This window comes from Homo sapiens, chromosome 14 (genome assembly GCF_000001405.40).
Source record: "Homo sapiens chromosome 14, GRCh38.p14 Primary Assembly".
NCBI classification, from domain to species: domain Eukaryota; kingdom Metazoa; phylum Chordata; class Mammalia; order Primates; family Hominidae; genus Homo; species Homo sapiens.
The window spans coordinates 92,713,524-92,736,717 of NC_000014.9; the positions used below are offsets into that span (position 1 = coordinate 92,713,524).

The 23,194-nt window shown below is 46.4% G+C and overlaps 1 protein-coding gene across 11 annotated transcripts in view; it reads right to left on the minus strand.

The window, feature by feature from the left end:
- The window catches only part of LGMN (legumain), a 44,819-nt gene that overhangs the window by 9,715 nt on the left and 11,910 nt on the right, over positions 1-23,194 (minus strand). For 10 of the 11 annotated variants that reach the window (NM_001437403.1, NM_001437397.1, NM_001437394.1 and 7 more), the window contains 6 exons: positions 19,126-19,292; positions 5,224-5,321; positions 3,857-3,938; positions 2,613-2,698; positions 853-928; positions 300-362 (listed from right to left, as the gene is read on the minus strand). In NM_001437403.1, the coding sequence (NP_001424332.1) occupies positions 300-362; positions 853-928; positions 2,613-2,698; positions 3,857-3,938; positions 5,224-5,321; positions 19,126-19,263 (543 nt within the window). In that variant the 5' untranslated portion in view covers positions 19,264-19,292. Of the gene's footprint in view, positions 1-299; positions 363-852; positions 929-2,612; positions 2,699-3,856; positions 3,939-5,223; positions 5,322-19,125; positions 19,293-19,500; positions 19,618-23,194 lie in introns of those variants that run through there. The other variant, XM_047431597.1, reaches the window with a different exon arrangement.

Consider the following 23,194-nt stretch of genomic DNA (forward strand, 5'->3'; position numbering starts at 1 on the left):
CGAAGACCAGCAGCAGCAGGATCACATGGAAACCCAAGGCAAATTCTCAGGCCCCCTCCGCAGACCTACTGGGTCAAACTCTGGGGGCGAGGCCCACACTGTTTTAACAAGCTCTCCATGATTCCAGTCTAATAGCTAAAGCCGAAAGCCTCATCCTGGGAAACCAGGGATTGGAAGGATCCCCTTTCTAGAAAACACAGCACCCACAGTTGGAGGACGGTCACGGGACTGTGGGCTCTGCACTCACGGCTTTCCTCACACCCCCCGCCCCCACAAGGCTGCCCCAAGGGCTGAATTACCTTTCGGTACATTTTGTGTTTGTACATGTAATGGATGGTCTCATTCAGGTCCTTTACATGAAGCTGAAAGGTGAGAATATTGTCAGACCAACACATCAAGAGAAACTATTTGCTGGATAAGCCACTAGTAAAGTTCTGATGATCCTTCATAAACTCTTTTCTACCAATCCCTAGAAGTAATCATGGTGAAGAACATAACCCCAGAATGTCGTCACATGTTTTATGCACGCATTTAAAAAGGGCAAGAGGATGTACCTCTTCACCCATTACTTTGTCCGGAGCTTTTGGTCTATTCTCAGGTCTAGTGTGATACACCCACATCCTGAGACAGCTACCGACGCTGCGACATGAACAGAAAAGCAGGGAAAACTGTCTGGAAGAGATGTCCTTGGATAGATTTCAAGCTGCTAAACCTGTCCCCCACTCCCACCCACCACACGTACAAACCAACCCTGGCAGGACACTAGAAAATACACGCTATGGGTTTAATCTCGACACCTAGGCTTGCTTTTCTGTTCTGCTAGTTTGTCCTTAAAACGTTAAGAAAACTCACATCTTCATTGGGAAAAACCAGTATTCCAGTAGATCCATGGTCAGTGAAGTAAATGAACACGTGATCCTGGGGGCCACTGCCAAGAAGGAATCGGGGGTCAATCATTTCCTTTTTCTGTTTTTACTTCTATTTCTCTGAAAAGCTGCCCTAATCAAAAAATTAAGAAGTTTGGGGAGTAGAGTTGCCCAACCAGGTTTGAAGATGAACACAAGGGCCCGGTGCCCGGTGTCTGGCCTGTCCCCTCCACTCCCCTTGGTGTGATTCTGAACCACAGTATAGATCCTAGAGCCTCCAAATTCTGAACTACGGCTGGAAAGGAGGAGGGGCCTTTCCTGGGCAACCCATCAGACAGACCTGGTGTGAGGTGGATAGTGGGGTCCTTTGGCAATTGGGCCTCATCCCAGGCAGCCACACTCTCCAACCAGATCTCCCCAAAATGACCTCAACACAGGCCTGCAGCCTCCCCCCCTCCAGGCCTCCTGTGGCCCACAGTCTGGATGCCCACCTACCTGCCTCACCAGGGCTTCCACCAGATGGCGCTGCTTCAAAGTGGCAGAGATGTAGTAACTTACATGAAGCCAATTTGGTTCACCCTCACAGATGTCCATCTCCATACTAATTTTTTTTTTTTTTTTTTTTTTGAGATGGAGTCTTGCCCTGTCGCCCAGGCTGGAGTGCAATGGCATGATCTCAGCTCACTGTAACTTCCGCCTCCCAGGTTAAAGCAGTTCTCCTGCCTCAGCCTCCCGAGTAGCTGGGATTATAGGCACACGCCACCACGCCTGGTTAATTTTTGTATTTTTAGTAGAGACGGGGATTCACACTGTTGGTCAGGGTGGGTGTGTGTGTGTGTGTGTGTTTGAGACAGAGTCTCACTCTGTCACTCAGGCTGGAGTACAGTGGCACAATCTTGCCTCACTGCAACCTCCACCTCCTGGATTCAAGCAATTCTCCTTCAGCCACCAGAGTAGCTGGGATTACAGGTGCATGCCACCACGCCTGGCTAATTTTTGTATTTTTAGTAGAGATGGGGTTTCATCATGTTGGCCAGGCTGGTCTTCAACTCCTGATCTCAAGTGATCCGCCCACCTTGGCCTCCCAAAGTGCTGGGATTACAGGCGTGAGCCACTGTACCCAGCCTCTGCACTAATCCACACGAGCTTACTTGTGCCCAGGCCTCCCTTCCAGCTTAAAAGAAATATGCTACTAGAATCTCTGGCATCACATAAAAATGCCACATGAGCAATTACTAAACAACAAGACATCTCTAGCCCACAGCCAGTGGGGGTAAGCACTGGGGTTCGTGTTCCCCAATATGAAAGTCCACTTCCTCCAATATGAAGGGACTTACGAATGTGCCTCTCCCCGCTGGGCTGATCTGTGATCAGAGCACAGGGCTGGTGGCCCTGCAATCTGGGCACAGGGATTCAGATTCACACCTGCCTCAGGGGCTCCGCTGGCAGTGGGACATCCCTGTGCTATGATCCCCAGACAAGGAACGAGGAGTTTAAGTGATAGGAACATTTTATTAATAATGAGGGGCCCTGGATCATAAGGTGAATTCAGTGCAGAAATGGGCCACCAAGAGAAGCCACTGAAACAACAGCCCTAAGCACCTGTCCTAAGTCAGAACAAAACTCTCCACTCTGTAATTTCTCACAGGTAAACAGGCTAGGGGCACAGAACAACACCTGTTTCAATTCTCTATACGGGGGTCCCAAGCCATTGAGAGAAGTGTAGTATCCGTAAACAGACATTACCTCTTCAGGACTTTGCCGGATCCTATGCCCTTCACTGCTTCTGCATCGCCTCTCAACACAGCAAGGAAATTTTGTGGGGTAACATCCTACAAAGAATTAGGAGCCACAATCAGATGCAGCTGTCGCTCCAACCCAGAGAGTTGGCTGAGTCTGCAACCGACCCATGCCACCAGCCTGCACATTCCAAGGCTCATGGCTTAACAGCAAACACTTTTGGTCGGGTGCCGTGGCTCACGCCTGTAATCCTAGCACTTTGGGAGGCCGAAGCGGGCGGAACACTTGAGGTCAGGAGTTCAAGGCTAGCCTGGCCAACACAGTGAAACCCCATCTCTACTGAAAGTAGAAAAATTAGCCAGGCATCATGGCACCTGCCTGTAATCCCAGCTACTATGGAGGCTGAGGCAGGAGAATCACTTGAACCCGGGAAGCGGAGGTTGCAGTGAGCCAAGATTGTGCCACTGCACTCCAGCCTGGGTAACAGTGCAAGACTCCATCTCAAACAAACAAACACTATACAGAAACAATTTCATTAAATACGGTCATCTTTTTTACCTGTATGATATGTTAAATTTAATTGTATTTGACTTTAAAAGAAAAATAAAATAAAATGAAACAAAGAATTGTTAAACATCAGATAAAAGTTTCTTATCAAAAGGATAATTAATTCCTAAAAGATCCGATATTTAAAACAGACTATGAAAACCAGGTGAATGAAGGCATCACGGTCGATTTTAAAAATGTGTCAATTGAGACAGTCTCAATCAACTAGGAGGAACAGAAAAGTTTTTGGAAGTAATATACTATTATAGCTATAATACACTATATAATAAACTATATAACAATAATAAATGAAAAACTATCTCAGCAAAAATCCTGAGATACTTTGCACCAAGCCTGGTACTGAGAAAACTGATTTTTATAAAAGAGCACAGGTAATCTATGATCAGATTAATGGTGATATCTCAAGAAAGGTTAATATGGATGAAACTACATGGTCAGGCCTAAAGTATGAGAAGACTGGGAACTATCAGTGGATTGCAACTTATTCTAAACATTCTCTTTTCCTCTGCTTTCTTTCAAAACTCTCATAATTTACTCCTCAGGCAAAAATCCTAATACGAATGTGAAACACCGACCAGAAGCCAGTCTAGGGAGATTCTGATTCTAGAAACAGAAGAAAGAGGGAAAAATCATCACTAAAATGAAAACTAAACCAGCTGGCTCCAACCGTAGAAGCCACTCACCTCTCCAGTGTAGTCCTTCGGGACTCCCTGATAGACATCTGTGCCATTGGGCCTGTTGATCACAATTCCTGGAGTGGGATTGCTGAAAATTAAAGGACACAATTTAAACGAGATGTGGCATGCCTCCGAAATCTCTCTCTTCAAACACATGTATGTTATGCGAAAAAATAGTAAACGTCTATGTTGGTCAAAGAAACAACTTATGGCCTGCAGGGTGGCCAACGTGTGAGTGGTTTGAGCAGCTTGGGGATCTCAGCAGTCCCACAGCCCAAGAGCTCTTGGCAGAGGCAGTGAGGAGCTGAGCCCGAAAAGCCTCGGGCAGGGACCAAAGCATAGGTGCGCCTGGCTGCCTGCTGGAAACCAGAGAGCATCGTGAGGGCAAGGTCTCATCAAAAGCTCTCTCAGAGTGAAACTACTTTCAGAAAGAGACAGGACAGAGAACAAGACTTTAATACAAGAGCTTAGGCGTTAAAGCGTCAGAGTGGGTGATGTATGAGCTGAGAATGTGACCACAGTAAGGGTAGCGTCCTTCACCGCAGCAGGGTGACCACGGAGCTAGGAGGTTAGAACTCGCTGAGTTTATGCCCATACTTGCTGCCTCTGATCTCTGCAAGAAATCAGATAAGCAGGCACAAGGGAACTATTTGTGAAGTTAAACTCAGCAAGTAATAAAATAAGTATAGAAAGAAGGTAGTAGGAGTATCTAACCTACAAACAAAAACATTCTACGTGCAGGTCCCCTGTGCTGCAGCCTGCTCGGAGCTTAGGAGCAAGCACCATAGAATCCAACAAGTCCTCGAAGGTGAGGAGGAACTCGGCTTTAGACCCTTTCAAAGCAGCGACCAGCACCCACTTCCTATGTCTTTGCCATTCCCAGGGCACACCCAAGTTATGGTCGAAGCTCAACATGAGGGCCAGACATGGTGGCTCACATCTGTAATCCCAGCATTTTGGGAGGCCAAGGCAGCCGGATCACTTGAGGTCAGGAGTTCAAGACCAGCCTGGCCAACATGGTGAAATCCTGTCTCTACTAAAAATACAAAAATTAGCTGGGCATGGCAGTGCACACCTGCAGTCCCAGCTTCTTGGGAGGCTGAGGTGGGAGGATCACTTGAACCCAGGAAGTGGAGGTTGCAGTGAGCCGAGATCGCACCACTGCACTCCAGCCTGGGCAACAGAGCAAGACTGTCTCAAATAAATAATAATAAAAAAAAAAAAGCTCAACATGAGGTATCCCTGTGATCTTCTGTCTGGGAGTCTCTTATATATTTTAACATTAGGCCACTAGGATTCCTGTGAGTCTATGTGACCTTTTTTTAAATACCCTGAAGTCCTTCCCCACCAAGTTCCAAGTGTTCCCCACTTACTCTTCAGAGTAAGCAATGTCATCGTACATCATCACAACGATCTGTTCGTCAGGAATCCCATTGCGGTGAATGATCTGGTAGGCATGGCACGCGTCTGCCTGGGAGAAATGATTTGGTGAAGTTTTAGATCTTGCCTGGGAGGCCAATTTTGGAGTTCTAAGGAGTGATGTGTTCTGTCTCCTGGAAGACTTACTGTGAATCATCCCGTCGGTCAGGCATTTAAATTATTATTTTAAAACACATACATTGATATTTTTTATCTCAATTTAAAAAGATCTCCCATCCATCCAAAGTATTATTCAGCAGGAAACTAGTGCACACGTGGGCTACGTACACATTGCACATGTGAGCACACGTGCACATACACACCCCACCACCACAACCACCGCCACCGCCACCACCACCGCCACTGCCACCACCACCACCACCACCACCATCACCACCACCGCCACCAACACCACCACCGCCACCAACACCACCACCGCCACCGCCACCACCGCCACCACCACCACCGCCACCGCCGCCGCCGCCACCGCCGCCGCCGCCGCCGCCGCCACCGCCGCCACCGCCGCCGCCGCCACCGCCACCGCCATCACCGCCACCACCACCAACACCACCACCACCACCAACACCGCCACCAACACCGCCACCAACACCGCCACCACTACCACCACTGCCACCACATATATAGGTAAGAAGGACCTCTGAAAGTCCTAAGTAACTTGTTTTTATTTTTCAGACTATATAATAGTCTCTGGAAAGCATAGATTTTAGTCTCAAAAACAGAATGACTCAGAATGATCAACAGAGCTAGTTCTATTTCCCACAGGATTCTTCTGATCCAAGTACTTTGTCTGCCAAAGACACTGTTTAGAGAACTGACTGAACACTCAAAAGTCCAACTCAGGAATTGAGAAATTGCTCTTAAGTTTTAAAAAATAACAAGAATACAAAGGAAGACAACATTATAAATAAGAGAAAAATGTTCCTAATGCAACTCCCTGTCCACGCAAGGGTGAAGACAGGCTTGCGTCCTTATCTCAGGTGAAACATACTACCACTTCATGCCTTGCAAATCATCTGAAGACAGAAAGGAAAAATGTTGCCTGTCTGCTTACATTTAATTTTGTCATTCCTAGAACAAAGACATAAGTAAGCATAAGGAGAGGCGTGTGCCCAGCGATTTGTCTCCCCAAGGAAGACAGCCTGAGCAACTGGGTGTACACACAGTGCACTCTAAACAACACTGAGCACAGCAATAAAACTAAAGCTCATAAAACATGCAGACTGGCACTTTGCCTGTGGATGTCCCAAACAAATGGACTTATTTTATGACAAAGATGGGTGCTTGGTATACAGCTTTTGAAGGCTGAATGGGTGAGGTCCAGGGCCTGGCACTCAAGAGCGATTAGATGAATGGATGACTCAATAAATAGGAAAACATTTTTATTGACTTGCTTCTATTTGTCCAGCACTGTGCTAAGACTTTGTAGGCCTTATCTCGTTTAATTCTCACAGCAACCCTTGATGATAAAGGTAATGATCCCCATTTTATTATGGATAAGGAAAACGCAGCCTTTGGAGGTGAGGTGACCTGCCCAAGTCACACAGAGTTCAAGTGAAAGATCCCAGGCATTCTGGCCAGGCACAATGGCTCATGCCTGTAATCCCAGCACTTTGGGAGGCTGAGGCGGGCGGATCACCTGAGGTCTGGAGTTCGAGACCAGCCTGACCAACATGGTGAAACCCTGTCTCTACTAAAAATACAAAATTAGCCAGGCATGGTGGTGCATGCGTGTAATCCTAGCTACTTGGGAGGCTGAGGTGGGAGAATCTCCTGAATGCGGGAGGCGGCGGTTGCAGTGAGCCGAGATAGCACCATTGCACGCCAGCCTGGGCAACAAGAGCAAAACTCTGTCGATTGTTAGATGCTCAAACACTAATTGTGGTAGGCAAAATAACAGCCCCCCAAAGGATGTCCACATCCTAATCCCTGAAGCCTGCACTACATTACATTACATTACAGAGCAAAGGGTTATTAAGATAGCGGATGGACTTAAGGTTGCCAATCAGCTGGTCTTAAAATAGGGAGGTTTTCCTGGATTATTCCAGTGGCCCAATGTCATTTTTGTTTATTTTTTTGTTTTTGTTTTTGTTTTTTTTTGAGACAGGGTCTTGCTGTCTCCCAGGCGGGAGTGCACAGGTGCAATCTCAGCTCACTGCAGCCTCGACTTCCTGGGCTCAAGTGATCCTCCCACCTCAGCCTCCCAGGTAGCTGGGACTACAGGCACACAACACTGCACCTGGCTAATTTCTAAAATGTTCTGTAGAGTCAGGGTCTCGCTATGTTGCTTTGGCTGGTCTCGAACTCCTGGGCTCAAGCGATCCTCCCACCTTGGATAGAGAGTGCTTGGATTACAGATGCAAGCCACGGCGCCTGGCCTTCAGTGGGCCTAATGTAATCACAAAGGCTTTTGTATGTGGAGACAGAGGCAGGAGTCAGTGTCCAAGTGATGCAGTGTAAGAAAGATTCAACTGACCCTTGTTGGCATTGAGGATGGAAGAAGGGGCCATGAGCCAACAGCTGCAGGCAGTGTCTAAAAGCTGGAAAAGACGAGAAAGTGGAGCCTCCACTACAGCCACCAAGGAACACAGCCCAGGCAACACCGTGATTTAACCCAGTGACAGCCATTTCACATTTCTTACCTCCAGAACTGTAAGATAATAAATTTGTATTGTTTCAAGCCATGAAGTCTGTGGCAATCTGTTTAAGCAGTGATAGTAAACTAATACAGCTATGATGGAAGTATAGTGTAATTGGCACTCCACTCTGGAAAACATCTTGACATTATCAATGAGGTTGAACCACACACCCTCCAACCAAGCAATTCTACTCCTAGCCATATAGCCTAGCAAAACTCTATCTCCCACAGATAACCAGAAAGTGTTCACAGCATCACTTTAACAGCAAAAGCCAAGAAATAACTCCAATCATAGTCAACAGCTGGAAAAATAAATTGTCATAAGTTCACATAAATGGAATACCTGAAAATGAACGAACTACAACCCACTACTCAGGTGATGGGTACCCAAGAAGTGCAAACCCCACCACTATGCAATGTATCTATGTACCCCCTGAATCTATAAAAACTTTTAAAAATACGCAAACAAGTACAACCCGGGTTTCAAAATAGATGACTCTTGGGAACATAGTGAAAAAAAGAACAAGTCATAGAAAAATACCTTCACTATGATTACATTTGCATAAAGGTCAAAACAGGCAAATGTAAACATTATGCTGTTCACAGTTAAATAGACATACAGCAAAACTATAAAGCAAAGGAATGAATGACAAAAAATTCAGGAGCTTGGTCTCTGAAGGGAAGGGAAGGAGAGTCCATCAGACAGGGGACAAGGTACTAGTATAATTTTTTTTTTTTTAGCAAGGTGCAAGGTACACAGGTATTCATTTTATTATTCTTTAAGGTGTACACATGTTATACAGACATTATTTGTCTGCCATTTAATTTAAAAATGAAGTCAGGCCAGGCGCAGTGGCTCACACCTGTAATTCTAGCACTTTGGGAGGCCAGGGATCCCAGCACTTTGGGATCACTTGAGGTCAGGAGTTCGAGACCAGGCTGGCCAATATGGTAAAACCCCATCTCTACTAAAAATACAAAGAAATTAGCCAGGCATGGTGGTGCATGCCTGTAATCCCAGCTACTCGGGAGGCTGAGGCAGGAGAAATCACTTGAACCCGGGAGGCAGAGGTTGCAGTGAGCCGAGATTACACCACTGCACTCCAGCCTGGGCGACAGAGCAAGACTCTGTCTCAAAACAAAAACAAAAACAAAACTTTGATAAATTGGCTTAGCAAAATTAAAACCTTTAGTGCTTCCAAAGACATTATTAAAAAAATGAAAAGACAAGCAACAGACTATGAGAAAATATTTGCAAAACATATATCGGATAAAGGGCTTGTACTGAAACATCTAAAGCACTCCTGTATCACTGAGCCAAAAATAGGCAAAAGATTTCAATAAACATTTCACCTAAGAAGATATACAAATTGTTAGTCAGCACATGAAAAGATGTTCAACATCACCCATCATTAAGAAATGCAAATTAAAACCACACTGAGCTGCCACTTCACAGACAGACGGACAATAACTGGGGAACCAAGAGCCTCCATACATACACTGCTATGGTAATGTAAAGTGGAGCCGCGATTTTGGAAACGAGCGTTATAGTTTCTCAAAGAGTCAAACATAAATTTACCATGTGACCCAACAAGTCTAAATTTTTTTTTTTTTTTGAGACAGAGTCTTGTTCTGTCGCCCAGACTGGAGTGCAGTGGTGCGATCTCGGCTCACTGCAACCTCCGCCTCCCGGGTGCAAGCGATGCTACTGCCTCAGCCTCCTGAGTAGCTGGGATTACAGGTGAGCACCACCACACCTGGCTAATTTTTATATTTTTAGTAGAGATGGGGTTTCACCATGTTGGTCAGGCTGGTCTCAAACTCCTGACCTCGTGATACACCTGCCTTGGCCTCCCAAAGTGCTGGGATTACAGGTGTGAGCCACCACATCTGTCCTGCAATTCCAACTCTTAAGTACCTACCCAAGAGAAACAAAAAAATGTATTCACACAAAGATTTGCATGCAAATGTTCTCAGCAGCATTGTTCATAATAACTAAAAATTGGAAACAACCCAAATGTCCATCAACTGGTAAATGGGCAGGCAAAACGTGGTCTATCCATACAATGGAATGCTATTTGGGAATAAACAGGAGTGAAGCACTGATGCATGCTACAACGTGAACAAACTTCAAAAACATGACACTAGGGGAAGCCAGACACAAAAGACCACACGCTGTTTAGCTCCACTGATAGGAAATGTTCAGAATAAACAAATCTATAGAGATAGAAAGTAGATGATTAGCAGTTGCCTGAGGCTAGAGGTGGGAACTGCAAATATGCCCAAACAACTTTTTTTTTTTTGAGTCAGTCTTGCTCTGTTGCCCAGGCTGGAGTGCAGCAGTGTGATCATGGCTCACTGCAGCCTCTGCCTCCAGGGTCCAAGCGATTCTTGAAACTCAGCCTCCCAAGTAGCTGGGATTACAGGCATGTGCCACCACGCCCAGCTAATTTTTGTATTTTTAGTAGAAATTGGGTTTTACCATGTTGGCCAGGCTGGTCTCAAACTCGTGGCCTCAAGTGATCCATCCGCCTTGGCTTCCCAAAGTGCTGGGATTATAGGTGTGAGCCACCACCCGGCCTGCCCAAAGGATCATACTGGGATGATGGAAATATCAAACTGATTTATAGTGATGTTTGCACAACTTGGTAAATTTACTAAAAAATCATTGAATTAGATTAATTAAACTCAATGTGTGAATTAAGATGATATGTCTTAAACTAGGCCTCAATAAAGTTATATATTTTCTGCAGGGGCAGGTTCAGAGTGCCTTGTGTTGTTACTCCTGCACTGTTTGGGACCCCCAGCACCCTTGAGAGGTAAATGCTTTCATCCCCATCTTACAGACAGGGACTAGCTCAGGAAGGGCCATGGCTGACCCCAACTGTGCCTTATGCCCCATCTTCCACACTCACTGCCTCCTCATCAGGCTGTGACTCTCTTCTGGGCCTTGGAGGCACTTGGTTGCCTCTACCTTTGTTAACTCAGCGGGGTTCTTCCATTAAGTCAAATATTTACTAGCACTCAAAAGAGATACAAGTGGGGTTCAACTCAAACAATGTGAAAATGGTGTTACTGACTACTTGTATTACTTCCCCTAAATCCGTGTGACCTATACTGTATTTTCCCCGCATAAGCCCAGAAAAGTCATATGAGGTCATATTCGAGAGGAGGGTATTGAGCAAGACTTCTAAGAGGCGCAGAGCCCTCCGGAATGACAAACAGAGATTGTGACTTGGCTGGTTTGATAGCTTGTGCTGGGAGTTCCGCTGGTCTTCCTAATGCCTCCCGTGATTTGCCGATAGGGCAACTGTCCCTACTCTGTCTGCTTGTACTGCCTCCAGCTTGGCCAGCTGTCAGCTAAACAAAGACAAGTCGAACAAGGTCTAAATACATTGGCGTGCCCCATGTCACAGTTGCTGTAAAGGGTCCGCTCTCCAGCCAGCCCTGCTCACCTGCCAAGTATACATATATGATCACTTCCCGACACACAGCTGAGCAGTGCTGAGGTGAGGCATCAGGCTGGGGTTTTGCAGTGTGCCTCGCTGAGCCCACTGCCAACCCCAGAGAAAGAATCTGACAATGTAGTTTGTTCAAACTTACACAGCACATAACTGGAGAGAAGGAATGACACCTGAGGTCTGAGCAAATCCAGAGCCATGGTCTTTCCAAGGTCCTGTGCTGCCTCTGGCATTTACAAGGACGGCCCTGCTGCAAGAATGGGCCCAAGCCCATATCCCACATGCTTGGCATTCCCTTGCACAGTCCCCTCTGTCCTCCCTCCTAATCTCTTCCCACCATGCCCTCTTTAAAAGCAGATTTCAGGCCAGACACAGTGGCCTGTAATCTGAGCACTTTGGGAGGCTGAGGAAAGAGGATCACTTGAGCCCAGGAGTTTGAGACCAGCCTGGGAAACATAGCAAGACTTCATCTCTATAAAAAAAAATTTTTAACTAGCTGGGCATGGTGGCACACCTATGGTCCCACGGTTCCAGCTACTCAAGAGGATCCCTCGAGCCCAGGAGTTTGAGGTTGCAGTGAGCTATGATCACACCACCGAGCTCCAGCCTAAGTGACAGAATAAGACCCTGTTGCTGAAAATAAAAATAAAAGCGGATTTCTTTTTTCTTTTTCTTTTTTTTTTGGAGACAGAGTCTCACTCTGTCACCCAGGCTGGAGTGCAGTGGCACGAACTTGGCTCACCACAACCTCTGCCTCCCAGGTTCAAGCTATTTTCCTGCCTCAGCCTCCTGAGTAGCTGGGATTACAGGTGCATGCCACCATGCCCGGCTAATTTTTGTATTTTAGTAGAGATGGGGTTTCACCATGTTGGCCAGGCTGGTCTCAAACTCCTGACCTCAGGTGATCCACCTACCTTGGTCTCCCAAAGTGATGAAATTACAGGTGTGAGCCACCACACCTGGCCACGGATTTTTTTAAATATAAAAGTGATATTGTGCAACAACATGGATTAATCTCAAAACACCATAAGTTATGAGCTCATCTGACCGGGCACAGTGGCTCATACCTGTAATCCCAGCACTTTGGGAGGCTGAGGCAGGTGGATCATCAGAGGTCAGGAGATCGAGACCAGTCTGGCTAACATGGTAAAACCCTGTCTCTACTAAAAATACAAAAATTAGCCGGGCGTGGTGGCAGGTGCCTGTAATCCCAGCTATTCGGGAGGCTGAGACAGGAGAATCGCTTAAACCCAGGAGGCGGAGACTGCAGTGAGCTGAGATCACGCCATTGCACTCCAGGCTGGGCAACAAGATTGAGGCTCTGTCTCAAAAAAAAAAAAAAAATTAAATAAGTAAACAAATAGCTTGTGAGAAACAGACTGTGAGTCACCACCACCTCCTTCCTGCACTCCCTGGCCACTCCCTCTCGCCTCCGTCACTGCAGTCTGCCCAGCCTGTCTTTGGCCCCGCCAGCCTCGATTTTTGCCCCTTGGCCCACAAAACCTCAAATATCTACTATCTGGCCCTTTATAGAAAAAAACTCTGCAGGCCCCAGTCTTGAGCCAGACAGCAATGGTGAGGCTCTGAGTGTGTGGGGGTGGGGAAGGGGCTTGCCAGGAGCACACAGAGTGAGGAGCTCCCTGTTCTTGTCATTGGTGACATGGCGCCTGTCCAACCCTTTATCTACTTCTGAGTGGAGAGGTTCTGTCAAAGGGAAAGAAAGGGAGAGTTGCTGACTGGGCCTTCTCCTCCTAACACGCCTCACCATGCCCTCACCCTACCTTGCCGGTCTCCTTCTCCCTCGCTTCCTCCTCCCCATCTACCTGGGCCATGCACTGTCCTTGCATGCCCTGTGGCCACCTTCCTTTCCACCAGGGCCCTGGCTTTGCTCAGATGACCTACCCAGCTCCAAGTGGTCACAAGTGGTCAGGAGCTTCCCTGAGTGTGAACTGGAAATCCATTTCCCCTCACCAGGAACTGACTGACTTGAACATGAGCACGTGATGCAATTCTGGCCAGGAAGACTCGGGACAAAGTCCACCCATGGCTCCAAGAAAAGATGTGCATCTGATAAAGAGCAAGCCAAACAGACAAGACACATAGATGCCCTCTTTTTCTTCTTTGAGATTTTGTTTGGATGTGACACCTGGAGCTGCTGCAGCCATTTCGTGACTATGAGGAGAGTGTATTTGAGGACAGTTCGTCACAACTATGATGACAGAGTAGCAAGATGAAAAGAGGCTGGGCACAGTGGCTCACGCCTGTAATCGCAGCACTTTGGGAGCTGAGGCGGGCAGATCACTTGAAGCCAGGAGTTCAAGACCAGCCTAGGCAACACGGCAAAACCCCGTCTCTACTAAAAATATAAAAATTAGCCAGGCGTGGTGGCAGGCGCCTGTAGTCCCAGCTACTCGAGAGGCTGAGGCACGAGAATTGATTGAACCCGGGAGGTGGATGTTGCAATGAGCCGAGATTGCACCACTACACTCCAGCCTGGGTGGCAGAGCAAGACTGCCTCACAAAAAAAAAAAAAAAAAAAAAAAGGACCTGGGTTTGAGATAAAGAGGCTAAACTGCTTAATTAGCCAACCCTGGAGTCTCCACACTCTTTCAAACCACCAGGGAGGGCTCTGGTACATGCACTTGAAGGCACCCGATGTGCTGGCCACGCCCCTCACTGTGATTTTATATTCCCACTGCCAGCTGATGCTCTTCCCTCCACGCGGAAAGAGCTTCTGTGGAAATCCCGTCATCCTTCAAACCCACGTCAAGCCTCTCCTCCAAGAAGCTGCATTCCCATCCCTCTCCTGATGGACCTCATCTACTTCTGGACCCAAACCCGGCAACTGGAGCTGCTGTAGAGACTGCTCTTTCTCAGCCTCGAGTTCAGGTATTTGTACACCTACCCTAAAAGGCTGGGGGCTCCTGATCAGAGGGCCCTGACTCCCCATTCTCCACAATCCTCCCCTACACCCCTTGCAAACCATGGGCCTCAAGTGAAAAACATTAAACTAAACAGACCAATACATCAAGTCTGTTTTAATGCTCAGAAAAATTCTGCCGTGTTTGCCACTTTCAGAATGCAATGCCAGCAACACTGAGTCTATGTAGCAGTTGTGATTGCTTAAAGACAAGGATGCATTCTGAGAGATGCTTCACGAGGTGATTTTGTCGTTTTGTGAGTATCATAGAATGTATTTACACAACCCTAGATGGTCTAGCCCAGCGGTCCACGACCTTTTTGGCACCAGGGACTGGTTTTGTGGAAGACAATTTTTCCACACACAGGGGTGAGGGGCAATGGTTTCGGGATGAAACTGTTCCAGCTTAGATCACTAGGCATTAGTTAGATTCTCACAAGGAGTGCGCAGCCTGGATTCCTCATATACGCAGATCACGATAGGGTTCACGCTCCTATTAGAATTGGCATCGGTGACCTGACAGGAGGTGGAGCTAAGGTGATAATGTTTGTTATAACGCTCAGATGGTAATCCTAGGCCATCCACCTGTACTGCACGTTACTGTCATGAATACTGCAGACAAATGGAACACAATGGCAAGTATTTGTGTATCTAAACATAGGAAAAGTACAGTAAAAATATGCTACTATACTTTACAGGACCACTTGTCGTGTATGCGGTCCATCACTGAACAAACTTGTTATACGGCGCATGACTAATTACAAATGACCTGCTTCCTTTGGCTGTGTAAGTTTTCTATAATAAACCTTAACATGTTAAATTTTTAATACAAAAAAAGGAAACTATTTTAAAATAAAAGATAAAGTAATGCCAAGATACCCATGCCACATGACTAGAGTAGTGATTATAAGCATGGGCTGTGGAGCATGGACTGCCTGGGTTAAATCTCAGCTCCACCCCTTACTGGCTGTGTGACCTTAGATAAGTTACCCAGCCTTTCTGTGCCTTAGCCCCACCCCCACATCTTACAATGGAGATCTAATAGGACCTATCCTCTTGGGTTGTCTGAGGATTGAGATAACACGTGCCAAGTGCTTGGAACTGAGCCCTGCACACAGGAAGCGCTTAGTCAAGGGCAGCCTTCTTCCACCAGTATGTCAGCACTGCAGAGCAGGTGGGGTGACATGCATCGCCAGCACCCTGAACGGCATCTGACTCACACGTGCTCAGCAGGAATGAGCTAGGTACCATTTTCAGTCAGTTCTGCTCCTGGGCCACTTCCACCTGCTCAGCTTTTCTTTTTTTTTTTTTTTTTTTTTGTTCGTTCTGGGATTGCGCCACACTTCCCAGGTGCCTGCGCACCTCTGCCCATCCTGGCCCATCTTGCTGGCCCCTCTCCCAGGTCTGCCTCTGTCCCCACTCCCTCCCAGGCTGGCCACACCCTCACACCTCTCTGGCACTCATGCTTGGCTGCTCCCTTCTCCCCATTATCCATGCAACCCCCCACCTCACTCTTCCAGCTCTCTCTGATCACCCCAGACTCTACTCTGATTCCACGACTTCCAAAGGGGCCCTCCTTACTCACCCCATGCTCAGGACACAATGCAGAATGTCCTGCCCACATCACCTCAGATCACGCCCCCCCCCCCCGCCCCCGTTAAACACTTAATCCCAGCCCAAAATGGAAAAGTGAGAAATCCAATTTGGTCAAGACAAAACAAGGTTTAATTAACAAGTATAACACATAGGAAAGCACTTAGCAATGATTTATTTGTGCCTGGTGTGCCACTCTTCCCTAAACAAGAGATTTGTGGTAAATGAATGTTGTGTTAATCCAAGGAAAATATAAACCTCTATGAAAATGTAAGTTTAAAATCTGCCTAGGTTCTGTGGAGACCGTTCTTTTGAACACTCTTTTAATGATAAGCCTCCAAAGTCAAGAAGGCAAATGGCAGCCGGCTGAGGACAGAAGCAGCCCCTTGGCAGGGAGGGCTGAGGCAGGGGTGAATCGGCACAAATCTCACCTCCACCGGCCTTAAGGCCATCATCCTCTCTTACTCGGGGACGAATATTTCAGTCTGGGCCACTTCTTTGGCCTTGTTTCCCTTTGTTCTATTTTGATAGTTAGTATTTTACTCAGGGAAATTAGCAACACTAAAAAAACAAAAAGGTTTCTGGGAGCAAAGGTAATTGGATAACCTCTACTCAATAATGTTTAATAAATACATTTTCTTAAAAGCTGGTTGTATAAAAATCACGGTGGTTGATGAGTAATCGTGTTAACTCTCTGTGGTCTGTATTTCACAACTAATCTTTCCAACTTGAGGTTAGAGGGGGAGAAGAAAACTGAGAGCTGAACAGCTGTGTGCGCGGGCTGCTCCTCTTTACATGGGTCAGGTCTGTGGTTAAGTATTAAAGGGAGAAGGGATCATTTTGCCATGATAACAACTTTTTAATCAAGCCAAATTTCCTATTCGGCTAACATACAAAAACGATTCGAGAAATGAGTTATTCATTCATTCCGTGAATGTAAATACAGACTGGATTTCAATGACTTAGTACAAAATCAAAGAATGTATGATATCTCATTATTATCATTTTTTTTAAACAAGGTCTCGCTCTGCTACCCAAGCTGGAGCGCAGTGGCTATGCACAGGTGCGATAATAGCTCACGGCAGCCTTAAATTCCTGGGCTCAAGCAATCCTCCCACTTCAGCCTCCAGAGTAGCTGGGACTACAAGCATGCTGGCTGGTATCTTATTATTAATTTTTTATATTGATTACATGTTGAAATGATAATGGTTTGGAAATACTGGTTTAAAGAAGATATTAAGGCCGGGCATGGTGGCTCACGCCTGTAATCCCAGCACTTTGGGAGGCTGAGGCAGGCAGATCACCTGAGGTCAGGAGTTAAGACCAGCCTGGCCAACATGGTGAAACCCGGCCTCTGCTAAAAATACAAAAATTAGCTGGACCTGTAATATCAGCTACTCGGGAGGCTGAGGCAGGAGAATAGCTTGAACTTGGGAGGTGGAAGCTGCAGTGAGCCGAGATCGCGCCACTGCACTCTAGCCTGGGACACAGAGCAAGACTCTGTCTCAACCAAAAAAAAAAAAAAAAGAAGTTATTAAAATTAATTTCACCTTCTAAATGTGGCTACTAGAACATTTACCATGGCTCTTTTACCAGACAGGGCTGCTCCAGAGCCAGTTGGCCTGGGTTTGAAAACTGGCCCCACCACTTGTGAGCTGTACCGCTTTGGGCAAACTACTGACCTTGCCTATGCCTCAGTCCAATCATTCGTAAAGAGGGAGTAAGAACTGGACCAATGGCACATAACCCCACTGCAGGAGTTAAAGGACTCTGTGTAAAGCGCTCTTAGAAGAGAGCCCAATATATAGATACTGCAAGTCTAAGCATTTGTTTCTGAGACTGACAAGATTAAATGACTTTTTAAAAAAATAACAGCTGTATTGAGATAGAGTTCATGCACCATAGAAGTCAGTCTTCTAAAACAGACGATTCAGTGGTTTCTAGTATGTTCACCAAGTTGTGTACTCATCACCACTACTTCTAGAGCATTCTCATTCCTGCAAAGAGAGACCCCATGTCCATCGGCAATTACTCCCCAGTCTCTCCTTCACCCAGCCCTTGGCAACTACTAACCTACTTTCTATCTCTATAGATTTTCCAAATTTGGGCTTTCATTTAAATGGAATCATAACATATGTGGTCTTTGTGACTAGCTCCTTAGCATGTTTGTAAGGTTCACCCATGTTGAAGCATGTGTGAGTACTTCTTCCTTTCTTACGGTCAAATAATATCTTCTTACATGAATAAATCACATTGTGTTTCTCCATTCAACCTTTGATGGACATCTGGCTTGTTTCCACCTTTTGGCTCTTATGAACAATACTGCTATGAACAGTCATGTACATGTTCATGTGTAGACACATGTTTTCACCTCTCTTAAGGACATACTTAGGAGCGGAATTGCTGGGTCATATGTTCAATTTGATGTTTAAATTTTGAGGAACTGCCAGACTCTTTCCCAAGGTGGTTGCACCATTTTACATCCCACAGGGAGGCTGGACTTTTCATGGACACTCCGATGTGGCTTCTTTTCTTCTTCTCTCTACCTTCTGGTAGGCTGATGTGGGGAAATCCAGGAAAGATGGGGGAGGAGGGTGTGAAGAGAGAGCAGTAGGGCAGAGAGGCCTGGGGGTCCTGTCACCAGAGTCCTGGCCTCAGTCCTGTCTGGTCCCCACTTGCCATGTGACCTTGAGCAAGTCACCTCCACTCTCTAGGCCTCAGTTTCCTTATCTCTAAAATGAAGATGTTGAACTAAGTGGGTCTCAGCCTGGGTGATCTGGCTCCCTGGGGACACTGGGCGACGTCTGGAGAATTCTGCGTTATTACAGTGGAGCAGGAGATGCTGCCATCATCTAACGGGTAGGTGTCATGGACGCTGCTAAACCTCAAATGCACAAGACGGCCCCCAACAACCAAGAATGACCTGGTCCCCAACTATCAACAGTGCCAAGGTTCAGAAACCTTGCATCAGATTAAGATGGCCCTATCAAAACTTCTGAGGAATGACCAAACTGTTTTCCAAAATGGCTACACCATCTTATAATCCTCCTGGCAACATATGAGGGTTCTGATTTCCCCACATCCTCGCTAACACACCTATGTTACAGCCAGCCTAACAGGTCCGTCAATGGCTTTTCAAGTCTTTTCTATTTAATATTAACAGTGTCTGGAATTGTTTTCAGAATGCCAGTGTCCTTAACAAAAAAAAGATTAGTCATTTTCTTACCTGGTGCCTATAATTATACCAGCCATTTGAACCTGCCACGATCACCACCCAGTGCTTGCCTCCATCTTCAGGATCATCTATAGGAACGGCACCAATGCCCAGGGCCACACTGAGGAATACAGCTACTTTCCAAACCATTCTGCACCTTGGAGTTCAATTGCAGACACCTGAGAAGGGAAACACAGAGTCAAGTACAAAGCAACAAGAACTGATAAACATTGGCTGGGCGCGGTGGCTCACACCTGTAATTCCAGCACTTTGGGAGGCCGAGGAGGGTGGATCAAGAGGTCAGGAGTTTGAGATCAGCTTGGCCAACATGGAGAGACCTCATCTCTACTAAAAATACAAAACTTAGCTAGGCGTGGTAGCACGTACCTATAATCCCAGCTACTCGGGAGGCTGAGGAAGGAGAATCACTTGAACCCAGAAGACAGAGACTGCAGTGAGCTAGACTGTGCAACCATACTCCAGTCTGGGTGACAGAGTCAGACTCTGTCTCCAAAAAAAAAAAAAAAAAAGAACAGATAAACATTGTCAGCCCCTAAGAAAATATCATAGTAAATGGGTCAAAAAGATAAGGTCATTTAACCACCAGAGTATGTTGAAGATAACAGAGAGGGTTTCTATTTTTAGCTCTATTGCTCCAGCCTGTGCGTGGAGAAGGGGCTGTCCATACCTCCCAATCTTCACTACAAGTCCAAGTCATGCATATAAAATAAAAGAATATCCAGAAAGGGCTCTGGGCACTTTTTAAAGTTTTTGACGTAACTCAAAATACAGCAGATAAAATTCATCAACAAAATTCACTATTGGAAACATATCTACCACATACTATGAAGTATTTGTAAGAAAAGAATATACATGTAAAATAAACTGTGCAGGCTGGGTGCAGTGGCTCACGCCTGTAATCCTAGCACTTTGGGAGGCCGAAGCAGGTGTATTACCTGAGGTCAGGAGTTCAAGACCAGACTGGCCAACAAGGTAAAACCCTGGCTCTGCTAATACAAAATTAGCTGGGCATGGTGGCACATACCTGTAGTCTCAGCTACTTGGGAGGCTGAGGCAGGAGAATTGCCTGAAACCGGGAGGTGGAGGTTGCAGTGAGCCAAGATCAGGCCACTGCACTCCAGCCTAGGTGGCAGAGTGAGACTCTGGCTCAAAACTAAAAATAAGAATAAAAAAAGCTACATAAGAAAAAATAAATTTTAAAAATAAATAAAATAAACTACACAGAAAAATATGGAAGACAGACAAAATGTTAACAGTAGTTATTGGTAGGTGGTTGGCAGGATCAAGGGTGATTTTCTTCCTCATTTTTGTCTCCTTTTAATACAGTTAATGTGTATTACTTAATAAAGTTTCTAAAAATTCAGTATAGGTTTAATAAAAACATTGATGGGCAATTTAAGTTTATAAGGTGAACTATCTGGATGAGCTATAGTCAAACATTAATTCATGTTGTCTTTGCATCACACTTACAGAGCATGGACATACCATCTGTACAACATGCAGGGCAAACATTTTCATCCTTGTTTTACAGAAAGGAGAGGTTAGGGTCTGAGAGCAATGACCTGCCTAATAGCCATGGACTGTCAGCGTTGGCCAGAGCTGGGACCATGCCTTCTGAACGGCTGGTCCGGCACTCTTTCTGCTATATGGCTCTCCATCGCAAGACTTTATTATTACTGAGGCCGGGCGTGGTGGCTCACGCCTGCAATCCCAGCACTTAGGAAAGCGGAGGCGGATGGACCACATGAGGTCAGGAGTCCAAGATCACCCTGTCCAACATGGCAAAACCCTGGCCAACATGGCAAAACCCTGTCTCTACTAAAAATACAAAAATTAGCCAGGCGTGGTGGCAGGAGCCTGTAATCCCAGCTACTCAGGAGGCTGAAGCAGGAGAATCACTTGAATCCGGGAGGTGAAGGATACAGTGAGCCTGCATCATAGCACTACACTCCAGTCTGGGCAACAGAGCAAGACTCCGTCTCAAAAAAGAAAAAAAAAAAAAACTTTATTATTATGGAAGTACATGCTCTCTTTTATACTTCAATTCCAAACCCTTAAATACATTGTTAAAGTATAAACGGAAAACAGCACCAAGCCTGTGCCTCCGCGATAAGAAGAAAAATATATAGTCACTGAGATGTGGGGACTCAGGGCGGCAGATGTGTGAGGCTGACTTCTGTCCCAATGCCACAAGCAGGGCTGGTGGTGCTCATTCATTCCTTGACTCGCCACTCAGCCAGAGTCTCTGCAACACCTACTTTGCCAGACAAGGTGCTGGGTGCTGGGAACTCAACAGGGACAGAACAAAGCCTGTGTCTTCATGGAGGACGCACCCAGATGAAGGCTGATCCACCTCTAAGCTGAAGAAACCATCTTCAATGTTCTGAGTCTAGCCCTCAAAGCGATGGATTTCCTCCAGTAACTAAATAGGAAGTGCTGAGTCTTGAAAAGTGTCTTAGACAAGTAATTCTCCCACTTGAATATGCACCTAGGTCACCTGGGGATCTAGGAGGCAGATTCTGATTCAGTAGGCCTGGGGCAGGGCCTGAGACTGCATTTCTTTTTTTGAGACGGTGTCTTGCTCTGTGGCTCAGGCTGGAGTGCACTGGGGCAATCTCAGCTCACTGCAACCTCCGCCTCCCAGGTTCAAGCGATTCTCCTGCCTCAGCCTCCTGAGTAGCTGAGATTACAGGTGCCCACCACCATGCCCAGCTAATTTTTGTATTTTTAGTGGAGACAGGGTTTCGCCATGTTGCCCAGGCTGGTCTCAAACGCCTGACTTTAGGTGATCTGCCCATCTCGGCCTCCCAAAGTGGTGGGATTACAGGTGTGAGTCACCGCACCTGGCCATGAGACTGCATTTCTAACAAGTGTCAGGTGACACTATGCTGCTAGCCTCAGATTACCTTTGATGTGGCAGAACTGCATTAAATCCCCCAGCCTCTGGTCCACTTGTCCTCAACCCAGCATCCTGGTCAACAGACTACACTGCTCCACCCTCAAGCACTGCCTCCTAACAGGAACTTAATTCTTAATCCGAAAGCCTGAAATCGTGCTAAATGTAGGTTTCTTTAGCTCCACTGCAAGGTCAATGGACGGGCAACTGGTAACTACAGTAAGATGCTCCCAGATTTGTTTTTTTCAGGTTTTTTTTTTTCTTGGAGTAGCGGCTAGTATGGCACATAACAGATAGGTCAGTGGAGTGCTGGGGACCCCCAGTGCTAGAACCACGGGTCTGTTCATGTGCACCTGAGGAGGCTCCCCACAAGTCCACTCGACCTGACAAGGGCTCGCTGTGGGGCTGTGTTTCCAGAAAGGGGTCCTGATCCAGACCTCAACAGAGGGTTCTTGGACCTCATGCAAGAAAGAATTTGGGGCAAGTCCACAGAATAATGTGCAAGCAAGCTTATTCAGCAAGTGAAACAGTGAAAGAACACATTACTCTACAGACAGAACAGGGTGTTCCCAAAAGCAAGAGGAGGACCATGTCTACCTTAGGTGCAATGCTTGTTTAGACATAAGACAACAAAGCAAAACAAAGTCACAGGGAGATGTGCCTGCTACAAGGCAAGATTAACGGACAGAGGACCGTTAATCTTTGTAGAACTGCTGTCTTTCACAAGAATCTATGTTATTATCTTTAAGGTGAAACTTATGGCCAGGTGCGGTGGCTCACACCTGTAATCCCAGTACTTTGGGAGGCTGAGGCAGGCGGATCACTTGAGGTCTGGACTTCAAGACCGGCCTGGGCAACAAGGTGAAACCCTGTCTCTACTAAAAATACAAAATTTAGCTGGGCGTGGTGGCGCACACCTGTAATCCCAGCTACTCAGGAGGCTGAGGCACGAGAATCACTTGAACCCGGGAGGCAGAAGCTGCAGTTAGCCAAGATTGTGCCACTGCACTCCAGCGTGGGTGACAGAGCGAGACCCTGTCTTAAATAAATAAATAAAATAAAGTGAACTTATTATTAAACTAAAAATGCTTTTGTTCTTAAGATATAGGGACATCAGGACCTTTCCTGGGTCTGTTTGGTAAACATTAACCTGTTCCCTTAACC